Source organism: Homo sapiens, chromosome 3 (genome assembly GCF_000001405.40).
Source record: "Homo sapiens chromosome 3, GRCh38.p14 Primary Assembly".
NCBI lineage: Eukaryota > Metazoa > Chordata > Mammalia > Primates > Hominidae > Homo > Homo sapiens.
This window is the reverse complement of record NC_000003.12, coordinates 37,306,503-37,322,819: the sequence shown is the minus strand read 5'-3', so window position 1 is coordinate 37,322,819 and position 16,317 is coordinate 37,306,503. Positions and strand designations below refer to the sequence as shown.

General features: G+C 36.5%; 1 protein-coding gene across 23 annotated transcripts in view; it reads right to left on the bottom strand.

The window, feature by feature from the left end:
* Positions 1 to 16,317, bottom strand: part of GOLGA4 (golgin A4) — a 123,609-nt gene that overhangs the window by 44,060 nt on the left and 63,232 nt on the right. For 22 of the 23 annotated variants that reach the window (XM_047447981.1, XM_047447980.1, XM_024453457.2 and 19 more), the window contains 3 exons: positions 7,222 to 7,400; positions 3,626 to 3,757; positions 934 to 1,089 (listed from right to left, as the gene is read on the bottom strand). In XM_047447981.1, coding sequence (XP_047303937.1) covers positions 934 to 1,089; positions 3,626 to 3,757; positions 7,222 to 7,400 — 467 coding nt within the window. Of the gene's footprint in view, positions 1 to 933; positions 1,090 to 3,625; positions 3,758 to 6,890; positions 7,401 to 16,317 lie in introns of those variants that run through there. The other variant, XM_011533598.4, reaches the window with a different exon arrangement.

The following is a 16,317-nucleotide window of genomic DNA, read 5'->3' as shown; positions in this document are numbered from 1 at the left end:
GGAACTTATATGAATTTTAACAAAGATTATTATTATCTCATGAAAATGTAATTTTGACTCTGAAGGAGTTAAATAAGGCAGAGCCACAGAATGTCAGAGCTGGAAAGGTCCTAGGGTCCTAAGGAATTACTGAATCTAATCTCTTCATGTGACAGGTGACGAAATTAAAGTACAATTAATTTAAAAATCTAACAAGTGGAAGATCTAGGCCTCCTAAGTGTCCATTTCACCCACCATGGAACCTTTTGCAAGTGTTAGTGATGGAAAAATTAAGCATGGTTTAGAACTATGAGTAAGAAGTATGACTGTTTTACTATCTAAATCAGAGCAAAAAAGCTAACAAGTCTAAACATCAGTTAGTTTTCAAAATAGGTTGTACATTTCAAATACTGCTAAGGAAAGGATCAGACAGGGCCTTTAAAAAAACGTACACTCTGGGACATACACACAAATATGTTCATTACGGGACTATGTTTAGTATGGAAAAACTGGGGAAACCAAATGCAAAAGCCACACACTAGTGTAATTAAACTGTGATATAAGCAGAGGCTGGATTACGTTCAGGACATGGCATAAGATAAACCTGGACAAGCAGAAAGGTGCCAGGGCAAGTATTGCCTACAAAATGAGCCCACTTCCTAGACATCAAGGGTGAGTATGCAATGGAGATGCTGCAGGGTCAGTGAAAAGCAGCAGACTGAGTGGCTGACAGAAATACAGCCAGCTAAAGGCAGAACCAGGAGCACCATGTAATAAACACAGAGCCTAAAGCCAAATCCACTCCCATGCATAGCTCACACTACCTAAAAATGAAGGGCATGTATACATAAATCTAATCCAGTAATCTTCGAAACTTTATACTGACTAGAGACAACAAATTTTCATATGCAAATAATTTCACAACTCCAGAATCTGAATATTATTAAAACTTACAGTTCTGTAAGTCTCTGCTTCTTGCTGAAGGTCCCGAAGTTTATTTTCACTTTCTGTGAGGATTGCTTTTTTCTGCAACTCTAACTCTTCTAGGGCCAAAGATTCTTGCTGTTCTTTTTCTTGGCTGATCTTCAAATATTCTGATTGACTCTTTTCCTGTGCCAAAAATAATTAATACCACCTTAAACGCACATAAATCTTCAGCATTCGCAAAGTACTTCCCCAGGAATCATTCATTTCTTTTGATCTGCACCCAGCCCTGTTGGATAGGTAACGTCATCATCTCTCTCCTCCCATGCTCTAGTCTGCAGAAACAAGGCACTATGGCTTTTCCAGTGGGGTAATTGCCACAATTACTACTGATATGAAAAATTTTGTTCCAATAACCCCACTATGTCTGCTATTTTTCCACTACTTGTTTTACGAAACACTGCTGAATGTGAAAGGTCATACAATTGCTACTACCTCATCTCTACACTCCAGAGTTTGATATTTCTACTCTAAGTCTAGAAACTAGATTTTAAGTTTATACAGTTTGTGAGAATATCTCATTTAGAAAGAGACCCCACAAGGAAAATCAAACTGAAATCAGAAGATTACTTGTTAATATATGGGGAAGATCAAGACAATATCTATAAAACAAAGCTACATTGGCTCTACCACCCCATCAATCCTGAAAAGCTTCTCTGATTGTCCTTTCATGTATCAATATTCAATTTAAAGTGTTTAGTGTTTTAAGAAGAGAAGCTCTAGACAGTACTTCTAACAGTCAATTAACATATTAAATGTTAATTTCTTAATTGAACTCCAATTAAGACAAGTGTACTTATCCATACCTATTGCTTAGAGCAGATATTGCCAACTGCAATACTTTCAGTTCACTATACTCAAGTGCACTACTTAAATTAAGGAAAGATTTTGTACCATGTTATGAGTAGGTTGATAAGAAAATACTAGTTTCCATAGCATTAATTTTAAAATATCCATTTAAATATACTATATTATTTAATGTAAACTATATTTTAAATATATCTCTATATGCCCATAAAGGAGGAAATTTTAATAGTCCACTGAATTAAGAAAAGGGCAGGCACAGGTACCCACGCATGTGTATATTAAGGCTAGCTCAGTGTCCCCAAAGGTCAGTTACCCCAGCATGAAAACTCAGAGTAGGTCCTTATGACAGGCATTTTTAGCACTATTTATTTCCCACTTTGTTCCTTAACTTTCTTGCCCCCATTTTTAATTTATGTTGTACTGTTACAGTTTAAGAATTCTTGTAAAATGCTTTAATTCTTTTCTGGATCAACAAAGAAAACAAATATGTGCCCATATATGTGTAAATTTCATGACCACAGACACCCAATCATACTGTAAATCCATGTGCCCCCACAGAGCTGGGTAGAGAACTTGTTAACTCATTTCAAGAATCACTGCTGCTAGAAATTCTCGGGGCCCCAGATGCAACTAAGAGTGAAAACAACAATACACGTAAGAAAGAAGATTAAAATCTAAAATACTATTTATTATCCTTTTACACGGAAAGCATTTTTGAGTTACACATATTATCTTACGGATAATAATTTCATACAAAAACAAATTACATTTTTGTCACTAACACTTTTTTATGGCAACTTATATAAAAGGCTTTCATAAGTGAAGAAAAATATTTTTTGTTTTAAACTTTCAAATTATGCTATTTTAAAAAATCTTTCAACAAAAATCTCAATCTGCTTTCTGGTTGTTTTTGTTAGCTCAGGAAGTTTTTTAATTTAACTCTTTTTTAAGCCATCGTATGGACTGAAAATTAGTACTGAAATTATTCCACTTAAAATAAAAATTACTTGGCCATTTTTATTTCTTCTTCTGTAAAATGCAAGTCAGCCAAAATTTTCTCAGCCTTGAGCTCTGGGTACACTCAGTCTGATGAGATTTTCGACATTCTTCTTGAATTATGCACTCTCTTCTTGAATTATGCAGTCACTGCTTCAATTAATCTATCTTTTCCTTTTTTTGTCCCTAATCATAGCCTACTGCCAGGTGGGAGGGATGGATAAACAAACTGCTTAATGAAAGTGTGTTGGTTATACTGAACATCAACAATGAAAGAGAAATATAAATATTGAAAGAAATTGTTAAAATTTTTTAAATGTTTTAAAAAGAAAGTGTGGCCAAGCGCGGTGGCTTACGCCTGTAATCCCAACACTTTGGGAGACCAATGTGGGTGGATCACTTGAGGTCAGGAGTTCAAGACCAGCCTGGCCAACATGGTGAAACCCCATCTCTACTAAAAATACAAAAATAAAAAAATAAAAATTAGCCGAGCTTGGTGGTGTGCACCTGTAGTCCCAGCTACTTGGGAAGCTGAGGCAGGGGAATCACTTGAACCGCGGAGATGGAGATTATGGAGGTTACAGCGAGCCAAGATCTCACCACTGCACTCTAGCCTAGGCAACAGAGCGAGACTCTCTCTCATAAAAAAAAGAAAGTGTGTTAGATCAGTAAATTTAATTTTCACACAATACCAAGCTAATAAGCTCTGACAGCTTGCCTACTCTCTATCCTCTCTTTATACCCAAACGTCAAGACTGCCAGTAGTCTGACTTCCAACTGGAATGCAACAGTGAGAGGATGATAACTTTGTAACTCTGAGAAGTATACCTATAGCAGAAAAAAAAAAATAGTCACTTACAAGAGCTACTTTCATTTGTTCCTGAAATTCCCTTTCTCGGGTCTGAAGCTTCTTGGTCAGTTCCTGCTCTTTTCTGGCCAGCTCCTTTTCATGAAGCTTCTGTAGCTTAGCAATTTGTTCTTCTGAGGATTTCTGAAAATGAGCCAAATAGATAATATAAGGACACCCAGAATAAAATATGTAACTCCACAACTAAATAATACTATTATAATTTACTCAAACTAATAAGTTTTTAAGAAGAAAAAATCACATTCCTAAGAGAAAACACATTTCCTGCATAGATCAAAGTCATCAAAGCCATGATAGTTAAAAGAATAACCAGTAGTTTTCTTCTTATTTTAAGACAAGTGCTGCTACTGCTACAATAGACTCCATTTCCACATCTTGCAGGGATGTTCCCTACAAGTCAGGATAGGGGAGCACAGCTGGGGAATAAGGATGCTCTCAGAGAGGGCACTACACTGGTGAAGGTGCGCCCTCGCTGCACCAATCAAATTATGGCCAGCTTTCCAGGCATGTACTATTTATTAAAAGGTACAGGCCTTGTTCTTTTTTTGGATAGGAAACCTCAATCTCATAAAAATGTCAAATCTCATTATATAAATCTAAAAAGTTAATATATATTAAAAAAAAACAGAATGGGGGAGCCCACTGGACAAAATAAACATGCAAGAATAACCAACACTATTTCAAAAAATAAGAGTAATAATAAGAAGCTACCAAACAGCATATTATAAAATTAAACAGCTGCACATGGTCAGACAAAGCAATAGAACAGCACAGAGAATGCAGAAAGAAAAACTCACATTTAATACTTTAATAATTTAGTGTGTATTAAAGATAATATGGGTGGGGCATGGTGGCTTATGCCTGTAATCCCAGCACTTTGGGAGGCCAAGGCAGGAGGATTGCTTGAGCCCAGGAGTTCAAGACTGGCCTGGACAAAACAGGCAGACCCCGTCTCTACAAAAAAAAGATAATATGGCATATCAGAAGGAGAAATGTGGATTACTAAATAAATGATTTGGAGACCATTTGGTAGCCATCTGGGAAAAATTTAAGTTGAATCCTTACCTCACTCCTTACACTAAATAAGTTTCAGTTGGATCAAAGATGTTAACAGTAAAAAAAAAATGAAACCATAAAAGTGCCAGAAGAAAAAATCAAATTTTTAAAAACTGATCTCAGGACCGAACATGTGTTTTTAAATTAAAAAAAAAAATCCACATAGCATTTAAAGAAAAGCCTTATAAATTCAACTACAAGGAAAAAAAAAATTTTCTACGAAAACAAGTTGTAAATAAAGTCAACAAATAACAAACTGAGAAAATTATTTGGCTAAAAGGACGTATGTGCAAAGGCCTAATTCTCACTATAAACAAAGAGCTTCTACAAATCCATAAAAGACCAACAGCCCAATAGAAAAGTGAGTCAAGGATTTCGCCAAATAAATAGAAAAAAATATTTATCATACTGCTAAGAGTTATATATATTAATTTTTTTAACATAAACTTGGAAAGATAAAGTTAGATAATGCCATCTTTATTGGGGGGAAATATATTCTAATACATTGCTTGTCAGGGTATAAATTGTCTTCCACAGACCTCACAGCAACTAGGCAACAATTAAAAATACATGTAATCTTTGCTTGAGTTAATATTCCACTTCTAGGCATCTACCCTAAATAAATACAAATGTGAACAAGTATGGATAAGAATATTCACAGGCCAGGCACAGTGGCTCACGCCTGTAATCCCAACAATTTGGGAGGCCAAGGCAGGTGGATCACCTGAGATCAGGAGTTCAAGACCAGCCTGGCCAACATGGAGAAACCCCATCTCTACTAAAAATACAAAAACTAGCCAGGCGTGATGGCACACGCCTGTAATCCCAGCTACTCAGGAGGCTGAGGCAGGAGAATTGCTTGAACGTGGGGGGCGGAGGATGCAGTGAACCGAGATCACAAGATTGCACTCCAGCCTGGTGACAGAGCAAGACTCTGTCTCAAAAAAAGAAAGAAAAAGAAAAAAAATTCATAACTTGCAATAGCAAAAACTGAAAACAATCTAAATATCTATCAATAGGAAACTGATTAAATTACAGGACATTCATACAATAGAATCTTGAGCAGCCTTTAAAATAAATGGGGTATCACTATGAATTATCAACTACCAATGGCTAAGGAACAATCTCCTAGAAAGATTATTAAGTGGAAAAGCAAAATATAGAACATTCTATATAACATGCTGTCTTTTGTGTTTAAAAAAAGAAAAAACTGAATTTTTAAAAACGATGTCAGGATTGTCCATGTGGTTTTTAAGTTAAAAAAAAAAAATTCAGATACCATTTAAAGGAAAGCCTAATAAATCCATCTATAAGGAAAAGAAAAAAAAATCAGAGAAGAGAAATTATATACACAGGCTATCTCTGGGAAATATACTCAAAAAGGAAAATACCACTTTTCTTTGGGAAAATGGGAATCTTTTCACTACATACTTCATATCTTCTGATTTTTATACCATATGTCTATATTATCACCTTTCAAAATAATACATTATTTTTAAGTTGTTGGAGTCCATGATAACATTACTTATCACATCATATGACTATTTTAAAACTTAAAATATAGTCAGGCAGTTATAGTTAAGGTCTTATATATCCAATAATTGGCCACAAATAATTTCTGCTTTGCAAATTACCTATAGTTCAGCAGGAAGAAGAAAATGAAAGAAATATAATTTGCCCCCCTCAATGCCTGTTATGCACTCATAAGTAAAAGCACAGAAACCTTACCATGAGTTATAGAAATGCATATTGAAACTCTGAAATCCAAGCCTCATCTATTCAGATCTATAATTTATCTTAAGCCATTTTAGTGGCCATAATCAAATATCAAGAATATAAATGGGGAGTCAGTAAAGAAATAGGATAAAATGAGCAAAGTGGCAAGAAAGGCAAACATGACAGGAGGAAAAACAAGCAAAAAAAAAAAAAAGCAGAAAAAAATGGGTGAGGAAGGAAGCTGGGAGCAGGGAGGGGCCATGATGATGACATGTTCATATTTCTGAAAAATTGAAAATCTATGGGATTTTAAAAATTCATTAATTTCTAAGAGATCTTTCCAAAAAGCTAACTTTTAAAGTGAGGTCTATCTATATTAAGAGTAATCAGAACATTAAGTAACAATGATCCTTTAAAACATTTAAACAATCTAGCCCCTCAGTCACTTACTCCCTCATTCCCTCAACACACATTAGGCAAGTACCTTCTTGGCCAAGTTCTCTGGAGGATATACTACTGAAGCAGCTAAGTAGCCTATCTTCAAGGTGCCTAAGAGTCGGGGAGCCACAGAACAGTTAAGGCACATCTCAGTTTATAACATAGTCCACTGGAGAGAAAGCAAAGCTTAAAAGGTTCCAAAGAATTACCTAAGTATTAAATGCATTTATCTATCAAAAATTTTACAACCTGAATATCAGAAAACAGTCAATGTCTAAAATACAAACAAACTCTTCTTTACAGTCAAAGAGTGTAAGGAAAAATACACTTAAATTTCAAATTTGTTGTAGCCCATTTCATTACAGAATTATTCTTACTTTCATTACATCAACAACCTCCTGTTTCACCCGACTTAATTCCTGTTGAAGACTGATGCGTTCCTCCTCACTTGTTTTTTCGATAGTTTTTATTTGTTCATCCATTTCTGCCTTCAGTTTTCTCCGTGCTTCCTCTGTTTTTTGGGCTGTACTCAAAGCTTTTTCAAGTTCCTCAAAAGCTATAATGAAAACAACAGAAAACAAGTATCTCAAGAAATATTATCATTGAGCTAAAGTGTTTTACATTCAATTTTTGAGAACTAAGAGCAGCAGTAGCAGGATAGGTTAAAAAACTCATCACTGTTCTAAGCCAAGAGATACTGGAGTTGTTGAACAAAGCCACAAGAAACGTTCGGTCACCAAAACCAACTTGTCACTGAGTTCTGGATTAGGATATTAAGACTTGTTTATATGAGCCTAAGCTTAGAAGTTTGGAAAAAATAAATTACTGAAGGCTCTCCATTCTCTACCAGTTTCCTTATGGATAGTACATTTAAAGAAATGAAGATATGTCCCTATTTCTGTACTGTATAATTTCAATTGTTTTTCGTTTGCTCTAAAGTTCTTATCATCAATAATTATGTAACACTATTATATACTCACTATGACACTTTTAAGAATGGAAAAACTATTCTTAGGCATATTTTATTTTTAAAAACTTCTTAACTATATAATAAAAGAGCAGAGATTTTTGTTTCTTTTTTAAACATTTACTGGCTGAATATTTTGAAATGAAACTTACTATTTGTATAAGTTTCAAACCAGAGTTGTTTCCAGGTGACCAGAAAGAAATCTTTACCTGATTCAACAGTATTACAGAAAGGCACTACCACAGCAGGGAGTTTTTGGGTAAGATAAGGAAGAATTCAGGCTCTGCAAAAATAATCATCTTGGCTAGAGTAGTAAGGTTTTTTTCGTGTGTGTGTGTGTGTGTGTGTGTGTGTGTGTGTGTGTGTTTGAGACGGAGTCTTGCTCCGTCACCCAGGATGGAGTGCAGTGGTGCGATCTCAGCTCACTGCAACCTCTGCCTCGCGGGTTCAAGCAATACTCCTGCCTCAGCCTCCCAAGTAGCTGGGACCACAGGCATGCACCACCATGCCTGGCTAATTTTTGTATTTTTAGTAGAGATTGGGTTTCACCATATTGTTCAGGCTGGTCTCAAACTCCTGACCTCAAGTGATCCACCCACCTTGTCCTCCCAAAGTTCTGGAATTACAGGCATGAGACACTGCATCTGGCCAGGTCTTTAAGGAAGCCAAACAGCTCAACATTATCAAACAAAATCAGATAGGACGGGTGCAACAGGTGTGTAACTTGGCACCAAAAATACATACATGTGACCCAGCACATTGGCTCATACCTGTAATCCCAGCACTTTTGGAGGCTGAGGTAGGTGAATTACCTGAGGTCAGGAGTTCAAGACCAGCCTGGCCAACATGGTGAAACCCCATCTCTACTAAAAATTAGCCTGGTGTGGTAGCACATGCCTGTAATCCCAGCTACTTGGAAGTCTGAGGCAGTAGAATCACTTGAGTCTGGGAGACAGAGGCTGCAGCAAGCTTCTTAAGATGGTGCCACTGCACTCCAGCCTGGCCGACAGAGCAAGACTTTTGTCTCAAAAAAAAAAAAAAAATACATGTGTGTTTACGTGTATTTGTGTATACAGATGGTCCCTGACTTATGATGGTCTTAGATTTGTCAACTTCACAATGGTGCAAAAGCAATACTCATTCAGTACACTCCTCCACTTAATAATAAAGTTATGTCTGGATAAGCCCTTCACAAGTTGATATTGGTATTTTCAACTTACAATGAATTTATCAAATTCTAACCCCATCATAAGTCAAGGAGGATCTGTATATGCCTGTGTATATGTGTACATATATGTGGGTTGTATATGTATGTATGCATGCACACACACACATGCATTATTTGCATAATGATACCCTAGGAAAATCCTACTGCTACTGTCATCCTAGATTGTTTCCTTTAGTCCTCACAGAAGTCTCCAGCCTTCCCTCTACCATTGAGATAGACTATAAACAAAACTCAGTTTTCAAGATGGGTGTGTAATCCTACCAAGAAACGTATGTCCCAGGGAGACAGTTGTTCACCGACATATATAATATTTTCACTTCCAGTGGTATAAGAAATGTGGGAACTTCAACCTATGGCAGCTCAGAAAAAAAGGTCTTTCATTAACAATTTGGTTTAACACAGTGGTTTGGGCACAGGAATTGCAAACTTGAAGACAAACATCTATTCTAAAGCATTTTATTAAAGGCAAATTGCCAAGAGAAGGGTGAATTCTGGTAACAACAGAGAAATGCAACTTAGTTTGCTCAATAGTTTAAAAAATAATTTATCTGGCAACCATATATCTTTTTTTTTCTTTTGAGATGGAGTCTCATTCTGTCACCCAAGCTAGAGTGCAGTGGCGCGATCTCCCCTCCCTGCAACCTCCGCCTCCCAGGTTCAAGCGATTATCCTGCCTCGGCCTCCAGAGTAGCTGGGACTACAGGTGCCCGCCACCAGACCGGGCTAATTTCTGTATTTTTAGTAGAGACAGGGTTTCACCATATTGGCCAAGCTGGTCTCAAACTCCTGACCTCGTGATCCGTCGCGCTGGCCTCCCAAAGTGATTATCTTTTATATGAAAAGCAAATCTATCCAATTTATTTTATATGTCCAAAGTATAAAACTGATACTCAAATAAGGTCTAAATTTCAAAGGAATATTAATTAGCTGAAATCATTTATAAAGATTCCTATTGCCAGATGCAGTGGGGGGCTCATGCCTATAATTCTAGCACTTCGGGAGGCCAAGGTGGGAGGATTGCCTGAGCCTAGGAGTTCAAGACCAGCCTAGGCAACACAGTGAAATCCCATCTCTACAAAAAAATTAAAAATTAGCCAGGAGCCGTGGCTTGTACCTGTAGTCTGAGCTACTCTGAGCAGCTGAGGTGGGAGGATCACTTAAGTCTGGGAGGTCAAGGCTTCAGTGAGCAGTGATTGTGCCACTGCACTCCAGCCTAGGTGACAAGTGAGACCCTGTCTCTCAAAAAAAAAAAAAAAAGATTCCTATTCTAACTTTACTGGCATTTGCCTGCAAACCCCAAGATGATAATCCTTAGATACAAATATGTTGGAAACAAAAATGGTATCTTTGTTTTACATATTCTTTTACTATAAATTCTAACGTTAAGCATACAGAAAATACGGAAATAATGAACGCTTACTACTAACAAGAAATTAGTTCCCTCACTTAAAAAAATCAGTCAAGTAAAGTGACTAATTATGGGAAAGATTCTGAAACAAAGTGCTTACTGCCTAATTAGTTTGTGTTGAAGGTTTAAACGCTGGAGGAATGAAAAAAGGTTATGACAATGTCTTTTAATGCTTAGGTGTCATCAGCCCCTTTTCATTATTATCCAGCATATAAAATTGCATCTCAGCATTTCTGAGTAATTCACAGAAATATCTTCAATCAGGCTCTGGAGAAACTGAAGACAGTTTTGATACCCTTTCAGCAAAATAAGAGTTTAAATGAAAACCTTTTGTCAATTAAGTAAAATAAAACAAAACTATGTAGTCAATACTAGTGAATTTTCTGTTTTCATTTTTTAAATTCCAGAATCCAGCACAGTATAAAAAAATAAATGTAATGTTCTCACCTTTTCAAACAACAAAAAATCCATGCCACAAGTTCCTGTTTAGATATAATTTTCTGCTAATTAAGTTTTCTAATCTAGTCAGTAAATTTCAGGATATTCTTCTATATACAGTCGAATTTTAGTGTTTAATCCACTAAAAGTTTGTCCAAGTCAATTTATTATCCATCATACAACAATGAAAGTAGGATGGATTTGGTTTCACAGTTCTTTTCATCTAAATTTAACCCTCTCTCCCACTTTCCAGTACCATGTCAGGGAACCAAATAATTTCACACCTAGAAAGAAACCATTGAAATCTTTCATTGACATATGGTAACTGAAGCATCCAAATTTTCCTTCAGATGTTAAATCAACTTGAATATATAAGCCTGATGATAGAACTTTAAAATTGGCTTTAAGCAACGATCCATACCTTGCCATATTTTTAAAAACTAAGAATGCTGAAATGGATCGAGCTCCATTGGGCAATAATGTTTCTTACTAAAGCAGAATTTCTGAGCCAATCAATTACTAATGGCTTTTAACTCTCAACAAAATGCAGTATGTTATACTTCTTTCTGACACAAAACTCACTGCTTTCTGCCTCCCCATCGTGCTTTAAGGAAATGTTAACTGGCCAAAAACAGTGGTGGGGAAAGGCATTTATATTTTATATATTTATAATATCCAAACACAGAAAACGTATTTCAAACCCATTATGGATTCTACACTGTATCACAAATGAAGCCACTTCCTCACAGGAAATCTGCCTCCAACACTGAGTCTCATCACTATGTTTAAAGAGGATATACTGAGAGTTTACTTACTACCCAGAAACATCTCACCTGACCTTGTAACCCCTAGAAATGGTGCCCACAGCCTACTAATATTCTAAAAGTGAATTCCCTACCCTTTCCAAAGTGAAACTAGGATTTTAATGTAAGTACTAAAAAAGTATGTTCAAAATGTCTAGACAATTTATCTTTCAAATTCCCAACAAAAGATAAGTGAGTGGGGAGAAATAAAGCGTGCATCAGTCACAGCTGACAAGTCTTCTGCCAACATGCAAGAGTGCATGGGAAAACCACAGTCACGGCACACATCAATAGGAAGGCTAAGCACGAACTGCCGCAGAATGTTGCAAGAACACACTGTGTTCTTCCAAAGCAAAATTCAATGTATCTCAGGCAATTTTTATTTAAAAAAAAAAACACACACACACACACACTTTAAAAATACTTTTAGGTCAATCTTTAATGAACTGTAAGTATGATCCTCTGTCAGTTAAGTAAAATGCAGGGCAGACCCTTTATTGCTAGCTCCTCACTTTCCAGTTCAGATGAGGTTCACTCACATCCATGGGAATTATAAAAATGGACAAATGCTCTCTATAAGGGTTAAATGAGAAAGGTTGACAATCTGTAGCTCAATAATCCAACCATTCAGTCATCAAATACATACTTAGCAGCTGTTTACCAACTGCCAAGCATATGCTAGGTATTAAGTGACAAAGAAAATATTTCACAAAAAGATAGCTGAAGTAGTAAGAAAAGGGAATAAAATAACTAATCCTTAGATACAGCTAGGAAGAATGTGGCATTGTTTTTGCTACTCCAGCACTTCTTAGGATACTCCTCATCCTGAGTATCCTAATCAATTATAATAAGAAATGCCAGAATTCTGAGGTTTCATGCAGCATTACTATTTTGTTACACTGCCCCAGAGAACACTTCACTATATGGTTAACAAGACCCACTTCTACTCCCAGTGTAGGAAATAAACAAAAATGCAGAAGTGTGAAAAGGCTGTTAACCTCTAGATTAACTGATGATCCTAACAAGCTGGTTAATGACATGAAGAATGAGTAAGTAAGCCAATGCCTGTCTTTATCCCAGCAAAAACAAACAAACAAAATGAGTGAATGAAATGCACTACAAAATGAATGAAATGCAAATTAACAGAAAAAGCAACAAAAAGAATTTTATCAGAATTCCCACTGAATCATCAAGCCTCTTTGGCAAATAAAATCAAAGTCTACAGCAGCAGTTCTCAATATGTGGTCCAAAGATCCTGGGGTCTTGAGACCCTTTCAGAGGATCTGTGAGATTCTCCCTTTTCCAAATACGTGTCTATGTAAGAGTAGATTTTCTTCCCATATTTCAACCAAAATAATACATCACAACGGATTAAATGCAGAAACAGGCATGAAAATCCAGCTGCATTTTATTAAGCCAAGCAATGAGATAACAAAAATGTAAAACAAGGCCATTCTTCACACTAAACCTTATTTTGGAAAATATAGGTAGAATGAAAAAGTATTTATGCTAACATGTAATGGATTTATAACTGGTTTTTTTTGTTTGTTTTTTGTTGTTGTTGTTTGTTTGTTTTGAGACAAGAGTCTCGCTCTGTCAGCCAGGCTGGAGTGCAATGGCACAATCTTGGCTCACTGCAACCTCCGCCTCCCAGGCTCAAGCAATTCTCCTGCCTCAGCCTCCAGAATAGCTGGGATTACAGGCGTGTGCCACCATGCCCAGCTAATTTTTGTATTTTTAGTAGAGACGGGGTTCACCATGTTGGCCAGGCTGGTCTCAAACTCCTGACCTCAGGTAATCCGCCCGCCTCGGCCTCCCAAAGTGCTGGCATTACAGGCATGAGCCATCACGCCCGGCCTATAATTGTTATTTTTATTTTTGAAACAGAGTCTCGCTCTGTCGCCCAGGCTGGAGTGCAGTGGCGTGATCTTGGCTCACTGCAACCTCCACCTCCCAGGTTCAAGCGATTCTCCTGCCTCAACTTCCCGAGTAGCTGGGACTACAAGCACGCGCCACCATATCCAGCTAATTTTTGTATTTTTAGTAGAGACAGGGTTTCACCATGTTGGCCAGGCTATTCTCAAACCCCTGGCTCTCAAGTGATCCACCCACCTCGGCCTCCCAAAGTACTGGGATTACAGGCATGAGCCACCACACCCGGCCTATAATTGTTATTTTAAAAATGAATTAAACAAATATTGTTAAAATTTTTACTTTTAGCCAGGCGCAGTGGCTCACGCCTGAAATCCCAGCCCTTTGGGAGGCCGAGGCGGGCAGATCACGAGGTCAGAGTTTGAGACCATCCTGGCTAACACGGTGAAACTCCGTCTCTACTAAAAATACAAAAAATTAGCTGGGCGTAGTGGCACACGCCTGTAGTCCCAGCTACTTGGCAGGCTGAGGCAGGAGAATTGCTTGAACCCAGGAGGCGGACGTTGCAGTGAGCCGAGATCACACCACTGCACTCCAGCCTGGGCGACAGAGTGAGACTCTGTCTCAAAAAAATATATATATATATTTACTTTTAATTATTAATACAGTAAATATCAATACATATAACCCACATAAATAAAGCTCTTTGGAATCACCAATAAGTTTTAAGAGTGTTAAGAGGTCCCTGAGATCAAAAAGTCTGAAAGCTACTAGTCTAGAGCTTACATAAATGAAAATAAAATACTACCACCCGGTGGCATAAATTAGATAGTGCAATGCTTATCTATAAATTAGGGCCTTCACAGAGATTTAATAAATATCACTTTTGCAATGGAAAACTACATTTTAAGCCATACTACAAAATATATAACAAGATTCATTCTATAAACTGACTATGCTTTGACTTTCAAAAAATTTACCAATTTATCCGAATTTTCTTTTTCTTTTTGTTCGTTTTTTTTTTTTGAGACAGAGTTTCGTTCTTGTCGCCCAGGCTGGAGTGCAATGGCAGGATCTCGGCTCACTGCAACCTCTGCCTCCCAGGTTCAAGTGATTCTCCTGCCTCAGCCTCCAGAGTAGCTGGGATTACAGGCACACGCCACCATGCCCGGCTAATTTTTATATTTTTAGTAGAGATGGGGTTTACCATGTTGGCCAGGCTGGTCTTGAACTCCTGACCTCAGGTAATCCACCCGCCTCAGTCTCCCAAAGTGCTGGGATTTCGGGCGTGAGCCACCGCGCCCAGCCCCAAATTTTCATGTACACTTTACATACATATTTATCTATCAAATACCTTGAAAACATCAGGCTAATGTTGAAAAATATTAAGCTAAAGCTAAGTACATTGATTAAATTAGAAATATAATCCCGCACCAAAGAAACGTGTTTTTAAATTACTGATGGTTTCAAGTAATAGTGACATTGTTGGAGACATAAATAATTGCATTTTAAAAGCCACTTAAAATAAATTTTTCCAGCAGTTATTCATTTAGTGCCAAAATACGTACGTATTATTTATCTAACATGGCATACTTAAAATCTACTTTCATTCATACTTTTTTTTTTTTGCCTGAGAAACATGGAATTTTCTTTGTAAAGCTTATTCTAAGTACCCATGATAAGAAAAAAAATAGCCCTTACCCCAGTCCTGTTCATACAAGGCTTGGGAAAGGCACCATGATTCACTTATTGGCATGTGTGGATGCACAAAAATAAGATGTTTTGTGAGACTTAAGACTCCAAGAAAATTTTGTTACATAAATTATCAGCAACTAACAAAGCAGTTAAATACACATGTGATTTTGGTTTGTTATATAAAAATGCATAAATCTTACACATTATTTAAACAGATAAACTATTTTAAAGAGTCCTTCAAACATCAAATAAATATGTTCTAATGAATTTCTTTTGGTGTATCAGACCTATACTATACAAATGAATAAAAAACATATTTCCTGCACAAACACAACATGACAATAAAAAAGCAAAGAATGTTATGAGTTAGTCCAAGTTTTTAAATGCCACCAATCATATAAAACAAGTAACTTCAGCAAAGACAAGGTACATGAAAGGGAAACGGGGTTTACAAAAGTTACTATACTCTAGAAACTTCCCTAATCTAAGCAAAATACTTTATTCATGTTGCATAATTGTAGGAAAAAACATTTTAATGGGAGGGAGGATTAACATTGTGGCATGGGTTACTTTTTTAATGGCTATATATATTTAAATCACTTAAAAGTAGCTAACAAAAAAGACTAAAAGTCTATGGTTAAGAATTTATCCTAAGATAAAATTCAAAGATCTAATAAGCTATATCTCAAAATTGTCACAATAGTATAACAAAAATATATAATAATCTAGATGATAAACAATAAGGAAATGATAACCAAGTAAATGATGTACATGCACTTTGACACAGCCATTAAAATATATTAACTTTAGCAACACGTAAAAGTGTCAATAACATAATGCTAAATGGGGGAGAAGAACATACAAAATTGAATGTGCCGTATTATTACAATAATTAAAAAAAATTAGAGAAAACACTAAATGGAAATTTACTAAAACAACAGTGATGTGATTTTCTCTATTTTCCAATTTTTTGGTAATACACTGCATTAATAATTAGCTACCCCTATCTCCTATCCTGATACACACACACACACACACACACACACACACACACACACACAC